An 8,523-nucleotide genomic window follows, 5' to 3' on the forward strand; every position below is an offset into this window, starting at 1 on the left:
CGAGGCTTCCGGTTCCGGGACGACCGCTCCCGGAGTTTTGCTTCCGAGGTCAAGGCGAGTAGCATGTGCGGGAGACTCACGTTGCCGGCGAAGTGGGAGAGAGAAAAGTGGTAACCTGGGGCTGGGGGCCGGCGCGGCGGAGCTCGGAGTAGTAGAGCGGAGTGAAGACACGGGGGAGGATAGAGACTGGCATTCCTTTGGGCCGGGGGATTGGCGGGAGTCGTGCTGGGTGCTCTCGCCGTGTTGAGGTCCCAGTGAGGGGAAGGAGAAGCGGAAGAGGGTCTCTAGTCGGGGCCTAGGGCAAAGGGACTACAAAAAGGATGCAGATGACTATAGAAATGAGGACGACGAGGAGATGCTGTGGAGGAGCAGTAGAGGTGAGAAGATGATGCAAAGAAACTGTGTCAGTGAGGAACTGTATAGAGGGTCATAGAGGTGAGGTGGCGGAGAGAAACTAACTAACGGACCATAGAGGTGGGGGAGCCATTGTAGAAGGACGTGGACGCGAAAGGGTCGTGTAGATGGGCATATGTGTGAAGCAGCAACGTAGAGGGGCTGAAGAGGAGAAATTCATGGAGAGAAAGAATGCACCTAGAGTGAGCTCTGCAGAGTGCTGCGTGGGATATCCCTAGAGTTTGGTCTAGTGAAGGCACGCTAACCAGGCACCTAAGGCATTTCAAGTAGTGACTTCCCACATTTGGCTAGGAATGTGGGTCCTCCTCCGAAGTGGGTACCCCCTCCGTATCTTGTTACCCCTGCGTGGGGAGTGGATGGGTCGGAGGGGCCTGCCCCGAAACTTGGCCCCAGGCCCTCCTCGCAGACGTTACAGGAAGGAGACTCTCCAAGCCTTGGATATGCCAGTGTTGCCTGTAACTGCAACTGAAATCCGCCAGTATTTGCGGGGGCATGGGATCCCCTTCCAGGATGGTCACAGTTGCCTGCGGGCACTGAGCCCCTTTGCAGAGTCTTCACAGCTCAAAGGCCAGACTGGTGTTACCACTTCCTTCAGCCTCTTCATTGACAAGACCACAGGCCACTTTCTCTGCATGACCAGCCTAGCAGAAGGGAGCTGGGAAGACTTCCAGGCCAGCGTGGAGGGGCGAGGGGATGGGGCCAGGGAGGGGTTTCTGCTTAGCAAGGCACCAGAATTTGAGGACAGCGAGGAGGTCCGGAGGATCTGGAACCGAGCAATACCTCTCTGGGAGCTGCCTGATCAGGAGGAGGTTCAGCTGGCTGATACAATGTTTGGCCTTACCAAGGTTACAGATGACACACTCAAGCGTTTCAGTGTGCGATATCTGCGACCTGCTCGCAGTCTTGTCTTCCCTTGGTTCTCCCCTGGGGGCTCAGGATTACGAGGCCTGAAGCTCCTAGAGGCTAAATGCCAGGGGGATGGAGTGAGCTACGAGGAAACCACTATTCCCCGACCCAGCGCCTACCACAATCTGTTTGGATTACCACTGATTAGTCGTCGAGATGCTGAGGTGGTACTGACGAGTCGTGAGCTTGACAGCCTGGCCTTGAACCAGTCCACGGGGCTGCCTACCCTTACTCTACCCCGAGGAACGACCTGCTTACCCCCTGCCTTACTCCCTTACCTGGAACAGTTCCGGCGGATTGTATTCTGGTTGGGGGATGACCTTCGGTCCTGGGAAGCCGCCAAGTTGTTTGCACGAAAACTGAACCCCAAACGATGCTTCTTGGTGCGACCAGGAGACCAGCAACCCCGTCCCCTGGAGGCCCTGAACGGAGGCTTCAATCTTTCTCGTATTCTTCGTACCGCCCTGCCTGCCTGGCACAAGTCCATCGTATCTTTCCGGCAGCTTCGGGAGGAGGTGCTAGGAGAACTGTCAAATGTGGAGCAAGCAGCTGGCCTCCGCTGGAGCCGCTTTCCAGACCTCAATCGTATCTTGAAGGGACATCGAAAGGGCGAGCTGACGGTCTTCACAGGTAACCCTTTGAGAAATCACTACTTAGAGTAAAGGGGCAGAAGATCAGGTGACAAAAGCAAGTGGGTTTGGGCCATGACAATGTTGAAAAGAAGGTTGGCCCTTTCCCCCCAGTTTTAAAGCCCTGACCTATGTCTTGGTTTCAAGGGTAGGACTTCCTCCTCACCCAGGTCTGTTCCACCCCACTGCAGGGCCAACAGGCAGTGGAAAGACGACATTCATCAGTGAGTATGCCCTGGATTTGTGTTCCCAGGGGGTGAACACACTGTGGGGTAGCTTCGAGATCAGCAATGTGAGACTAGCCCGGGTCATGCTGACACAGTTTGCCGAGGGGCGGCTGGAAGATCAACTGGACAAATATGATCACTGGGCTGACCGCTTTGAGGACCTGCCCCTCTATTTCATGACTTTCCATGGACAGCAAAGCATCAGGTGAGACTCCCAGATTCCAGCCACCTTGCTTTCCCAGACATATCCCAGCACTCAGGAACCTTTGGTTCCTTTTCCAGCTCCAGTAGGAACTCCCCCATCTCCTTAGGTTTGGAGTTTTTCAAAGAATGAGAGGGCAGGGCTGGACACACTGGCTCACGCCTGTAATCCCAGCACTTTGGGAGGCTGAGGTGGGAGGATCACTTGAGCCCAGGGATTTGAGACCAACCTGGGCAATATAGGGAGACCACCCCTCTCTATAAAAAAATTTTTAAAAATTAGGCTGGGCATGGTGATGGCATATGCCTGTGGTCCCAGCTACTCAAGAAGCTAAAGTAAGAGGATCGCTTGAGCCTAGTAGGTTGGGGCTGCAGTGAGCTGTGATCACACCACTGCACTCCAGCCTGGGCTACAGAGCAAGACCTTGTCTCAAATAATAGTAATAATAATAGAAGGGCAGAGGAGGCAGCCAAGAGAGTTTTCAGGATGCTAGTTCTTCTGCCTGGGGTGGTCTAGAGACAACTTGTCAAATTCCTTGCCTTTCCTCTTCCCAGGACTGTAATAGATACAATGCAACATGCAGTCTACGTCTATGACATTTGTCATGTGATCATCGACAACCTGCAGTTCATGATGGGTCACGAGCAGCTGTCCACAGACAGGTGACGGTGACATCCTCTCTTGTCTAGCTTGAGCCCGCTTGGACATACAACACACACTTCTCAGGCAGCTGGCCTCTAGGCACACATGCTGTGCTCTCCTATTTTCTGAGATGTGTGCAGGCACGTACCACCCCCATGTGTATCATATGGAGGTGTGGGGTATGGCAGCAGGATGTATGGACAGGGATCTGAGTGTGAGTCCTTGGGTAGAGGGAGGTAGAGTGGGTTGTGGTAGTTTGTGGGGAGATGTGAATGGATCAAGAGTATGTGTATGTTCTTGTCCTTCTGTGTCTGATAAGCTCTTTGTGTTGTTGGGATGGCGTAGGATCGCAGCTCAAGACTACATCATCGGGGTCTTTCGGAAGTTTGCAACAGACAATAACTGCCATGTGACACTGGTCATTCACCCCCGGAAAGAGGATGATGACAAGGAACTGCAGACAGCGTCCATTTTTGGCTCAGCCAAAGTGAGTGGCCTTTAGCGGAGCTCAAGCTTTGGAAAATAGAGTGGGTAGGTGTGACCAGGGACAGCCCTCATTCAGCCTTAATCGTCTTGACTGTCCATCCGAACAGGCAGGAGGCAATGCCTCTGGGGCCATGACATGAGGAATATATGTGCTGGAAATACAAAGGCTGATAGTTGGTTCTTATGCTCTTCTTGTCCCCCAGGAGCTCACATCCTCTCCTGGGGAAACAGTAAGACAGTGATTGCAATTCAGTATGATAAGAGTATGATAGGCAGCACAAGTATTTGGAGAGCAAAGAGAAAAGATGTCTGAGTCAGCCCGGGACATCTGGGAGACTTCCAGAGGAGGTGACAACAAAGGTTGGGTTGAGGTTTGGTAGACAATGGGTATTAGACAATCAGATAAATGTGAGGGCCTTCTGGGCATCAGGACCAGCCCAATCCTGGAGCTTCTAGTGTTACACTGAATGCCTATTACATACGAGGCCTGGGCTGGGCCTAGGGAATTCAGAGCAAGGAGCACAAATCATGTGCCATGATGGAACAAACATGGAGCTGGGAAAGAGAGTAATGCAGAAGTGGAAAAATGGCAGGGTACAGTGGATCACACCTGTAATCTCAACACTTTGGGAGGCTGAGGCAGGAGGATTGCTGGGGCCCAGGAGTTTGGCAATCTGAGCAATGTAGTGAGACCCTGTCTCTACAAAAATATTTGAAAATTGGCCAGGCGTGGTGGCTCACGCTTATAATCCCAGCACTTTGGGAGGCCAAGGCGGGTGGATCACGAGGTCAGGAGATCGAGACTATCTTGCTAACATGGTGAAACCCTGTCTCTACTAAAAATACAAAAAAAAAAAAAAATTAGCCGGGCGTGGTGGCAGGCACCTGTAGTCCCAGCTACTTGGGAGGCTGAGGCAGAATGGCGTGAACCCGGGAGGCGGAGCTTGCAGTGAGCGGAGATCGCGCCACTGCACTCCATCCTGGGTGACAGAGTGAGACTCCGTCTCAAAAAATATATATATATAATATATATATATTTAAAAATTAGCTGGGCATGGTAGCATGCACCTTTGGTCCCAGCTACTCAGGAGGCTGAGGTGGGAGGATTGCTTGAGCCTGGGAGGTTGAGACTGCAGTGAGCCGTGCTCACACCACTGCACTCCACTCCAACCTGGGCAGCAGAGTGAGACCCTATCTTTTTTTTTTTTTTTTTTTTTTTTTTGAGACGGAGTCTCGCTTTGTCACCCAGGCTGGAGTGCAGTGGCGCGATCTCGGCTCACTGCAAGCTCCACCTCCCAGGTTCAAGTGATTCTCCTGCCTCAGCCTCCCAAGTAGCTGGGACTACAGGCATGTGCCACCACACCCGCCTAATTTTTTGTATTTTTTTAGTAGATACGGAGTTTCACCGTGTTAGCCAGGATGGTCTCAATCTCCTGACCTCATGATCCGTCCGCCTCGGCCTCCCAAAGTGCTGGGATTACAGGCGTGAGCCACCGTGCCCAGCTGAGACCCTGTCTTTAAAAAAAAAAAAAAAAAAAAAAAAAGAATGGTCTCCTTCATGAGATGTGACATTTAGACTGAGACCTAAAAGAGAAGAAGCTGAGGTTGAGTGGGGTGGCCCGCTGTGGAGAAGGAGAGGGAACAGCACAGGCAGCGTCTGAAACAGTAGCAAGCTTGTCAGGGAACTGAAAGATTTGAGTGGCCCCAGCATCGTGGTCAGTAGTTCAAAGAGCTTTGGTCATGGGGGGAAGTACTTTTCCCTCTCCCATTCTTTCTCTTTTTTTTTTTCTTTTTTGAGACGGAGTCTCGCTCTGTTGCCCAGGCTGGAGTGCAGTGGCACAATCTTGGCTCACTGCAACCTCCGCCTCCCGGATTCAAGCGATTCTCCTGCCTCAGCCTCCCAAGAAGCTGGGACTATAGGTGCATGCCACCATGCCCAGCTAATTTTTTGTATTTTTAGTAGAGATGGGGTTTCACCGTGTTAGCCAGGATGGTCTTGATTTCCTGACATCGTGATCCACTCGACTCGGCCTCCCAAAGTTCTGGGATTACAGGCGTGAGCCATTGTACCCAGCCCCTCTCCCCATTCTTATCACTCCTCCCTGCCCTGTCAGCCCCCCTTTCTGCTTTGCTCATGTCCTCTTACTCCTGCTTTCCTCCTTCTGCCCCCTGTTCCCCAGGCAAGCCAGGAAGCAGACAATGTTCTGATCCTGCAGGACAGGAAGCTGGTAACCGGGCCAGGGAAACGGTATCTGCAGGTGTCCAAGAACCGCTTTGATGGAGATGTAGGTGTCTTCCCGCTTGAGTTCAACAAGAACTCCCTCACCTTCTCCATTCCACCAAAGAACAAGGCCCGGCTCAAGAAGATCAAGGATGACACTGGACCAGTGGCCAAAAAGCCCTCTTCTGGCAAAAAGGGGGCTACGACACAGAACTCTGAGATTTGCTCAGGCCAGGCCCCCACTCCCGACCAGCCAGACACCTCCAAGCGTTCAAAGTGAAGGCCGTGCAGAGCTGGTCACTGAAATGAGCCTGATAGGATAGGCTGGAGCATAAAACTCTGCAAGGGCTCCTCTATCCTGTGGTCCTGAGCTGTGTGCCCTTCTCAGTCTGAGGGGCCTAACCTAGAGCAGGTTTCCATAGTGAGAAAATTCAATGTAGCAGACTACTGAGAAACTACTGTGTTGCTCAGGCTTTGTTTGAGGTCCTGTATATACAGCACTGAAAAGAGAGATAAAGTCCCTGCCTGCATGCATTCTGGCGGAAGAGACAAGCAAGCAATGAACAAATTAGCAGAAAACCTAGTTTTAGTGAAAAATGCTGTAAAGAAAATAGAAATGCGATAGAGTGCTGGCAGGCTAGTGTAGATAAGTGGTCTGAAAAGGTGTCTCTGAGCCGAGGGCATGTGAGCTGGGGCCTAAACAACTAGAAGGAGAGAGCCACGTGAACATCCGGCGAAGGGGACCCAGGCAGAGAGAAAAGGAAATCCAAGCCCTGAGGTAGGAATGAGCAGGTCAGATTCAAGGCAGTGAGGTCAGGCCGCATGAACCTGGAGGGGAATCGGGGACTTCATGCGAAACTCCAGCCTAGGCTTTCAAAGTCAAAGGGTGATACAGTGGGTACCAAGCTCCTCTGCTCCCCACTTTGTAGAGCCTAGCATGAGGTGGCATGTACTAGAATTGGATCCTAGGTGCTTAGCCCTGCAATATCAGGGCCTCACTGGTGGGAGCTGCCTCGGGCTGGGTTGCTTGGTCATAGAGCCATAGAAGGAAGCTGTCAGCCCGGAGTGCCTGCCACCTAGACACTGATGCCATTGTGTGCTGCCTCAAGACTGCTGGAGTCAGGACATTTTATAGAGCCTTTTCCAGTTTTACTAAAAAATTTTTCCATTGCCTTTGTTTCTGTGCTTTTTCTTATTCATCCACCAGGTGTCTCCCCAGTCCGTAGCTGAATTTCCCTTTCGGGATTGGGAATGGACGGGTCCCCTCCCACTGCTTGCAGCCTTTGAGCGGTGGGCTTCCAAGGAAGCAGGGACATTAAAGGGCCTTCACACCCCACCTTCCATTTACATCTCTTCTTGGCCTAGGGAAGACAAGATGATCTGTCCTCATACCTAACTTCCCTGAGGATCTCGAGTGATTCCTGGCACAGGTACTCATCACTGGGCCACATGAGCCCAGTGCCCTGCCTGACTGGCCATTCCTCTGTGATGTGAGCCACTCACCTCTCAAGTGGACTTAGACTCAACATATTCTGTCCACCCCCATCCATCTCCCTCCTGTACCCTCTCCGTGTTTCTCATATGCTAATGCGTGCCAGAACTCCTGGGGACTTGTGAAAAATGCAGAAACTAGGCCCCATTCTCCCCCCATCCTCCACCACGTACATTTCTCATTCTGGATTTGAGGACGGGTACAGTAATCCTCATTTTTAACAAGCCGTGGAGGAGACTGTAAAATAGGTGACCCAGAGGGACTGTCAGAAGTATTCCTAAATGATGACACCTTCTCATCTCTCGTCCTCTGATATCCCAAAGTCCCAGTTTCCCTTTGGATTTGCCTGAAAGAGTCGTGAGAATGCAATATGTTCTGAGGGGGCTGGGGAGAATCCTTTTGTAAGGGTTGGGGGAAGGTTTCCTGCTCCGTTTGGAAGCAGGGCTGCCTTGTCAGGCTCTTCCTTTCAACCTATGAAGGGGCTTCTGGGGCCGATGGAGGGGTCTGTGGTCTCTGGAGTGTGAGAACTCTGGTCACAAATGTCTCCTGAAACATCCGGAGCAAGGCTGCTGGAAAGCTGCTCTCTGTGAGGAAGAACCTGGGGGGGTGGGGAGAGCTCCTCCAGGGCCTCCCTTCTTGGGGGTCTCTCCCAGACTGGCTGGAGCCAGGCCTCCCTAATCCCGCAGTAATCATTCCCAGCCGTTGGCTGGTCTAGGCCTCATCCAGAGTCTGTAACGCTGAACGGCAGCCATGCCTTCCAGAGGCACAATACCATATCAGTCATACCTGTAAGGATGTGGGTTCCACATTCCTGTCTCCCTAGAATGCCTGGTGGGTTCTCAGGAGATCTTTTAGGGGTTTCCAGTAGGGGACCTTTGTGAGGTCTCTGTGAACTGGGGATAGAGGGATAGATACAGACTTGGCTGTTTGTCTTGCCCCACCCTTCTAGCAGACACCCCCACACAGCACAAACCAGAATGATGAGGGGGAGGGGAAGCTAATACTCCCCCCAGCCCTACCCGCTGCACAAACACGTTCTATTCCATACCTGCCTTAAATACCCCATATCATGATTCCACCCAGTCTGTTCAGATCCCTGGATTCTAGAAAGCAGTGGGGGGTCCCTAGGGCCTGTGCGGATTCCCTGGGATAGGACTGGTCTGTCTACACCCAACTGGATGTTAAGAATCTCCCTGACTCACAGGTTCGGTGGATTGGGAGGAAAAAAAAAAAATTTCCCTGAGATCTCAGGAAAGGCCTGGCTAAGCCAGGTCCAGTTGGATCTACAGCCTTGTCCTCTAATT

At 52.1% G+C, this 8,523-nt stretch overlaps 1 protein-coding gene across 10 annotated transcripts; it reads left to right on the forward strand.

The window, feature by feature from the left end:
* Window positions 40-6,900, forward strand: TWNK (twinkle mtDNA helicase). 10 transcript variants are annotated; one of them, NR_160738.1, is made up of 5 exons: window positions 40-1,950; window positions 2,141-2,381; window positions 2,933-3,160; window positions 3,366-3,507; window positions 5,687-6,900. NR_160738.1 is itself a non-coding variant. In NM_001163812.2 (5 exons), the coding sequence occupies exons 1-4, from the start codon at window positions 708-710 to the stop codon at window positions 3,520-3,522; spliced, it is 1,749 nt and encodes a 582-aa protein (NP_001157284.1). In that variant the 5' UTR covers window positions 40-707; the 3' UTR covers window positions 3,523-3,551; window positions 5,687-6,900. The 10 variants fall into 10 exon arrangements, 5 of the variants coding, with proteins under 5 accessions (NP_001157284.1, NP_068602.2, NP_001157286.1 ...); NR_160742.1 differs by having other exon boundaries at window positions 2,203-2,381; window positions 3,366-3,551; NR_160740.1 differs by having other exon boundaries at window positions 2,203-2,381; window positions 2,933-3,040; window positions 3,366-3,551.

Source organism: Homo sapiens, chromosome 10 (assembly GCF_000001405.40).
Source record: "Homo sapiens chromosome 10, GRCh38.p14 Primary Assembly".
Classification (NCBI taxonomy): domain Eukaryota; kingdom Metazoa; phylum Chordata; class Mammalia; order Primates; family Hominidae; genus Homo; species Homo sapiens.

Bases quoted from the DNA above. Each gene is read 5' to 3' on its own strand.
- TWNK (NM_021830.5), top strand. From the start codon at position 708: ATGTGGGTCCTCCTCCGAAGTGGGTACCCCCTCCGTATCTTGTTACCC. The intron at 2,382-2,932 runs GTGAGACTCCCA...TCCTCTTCCCAG, and splicing joins CATGGACAGCAAAGCATCAG to GACTGTAATAGATACAATGC. The intron at 3,041-3,365 runs GTGACGGTGACA...GGGATGGCGTAG, and splicing joins GAGCAGCTGTCCACAGACAG to GATCGCAGCTCAAGACTACA.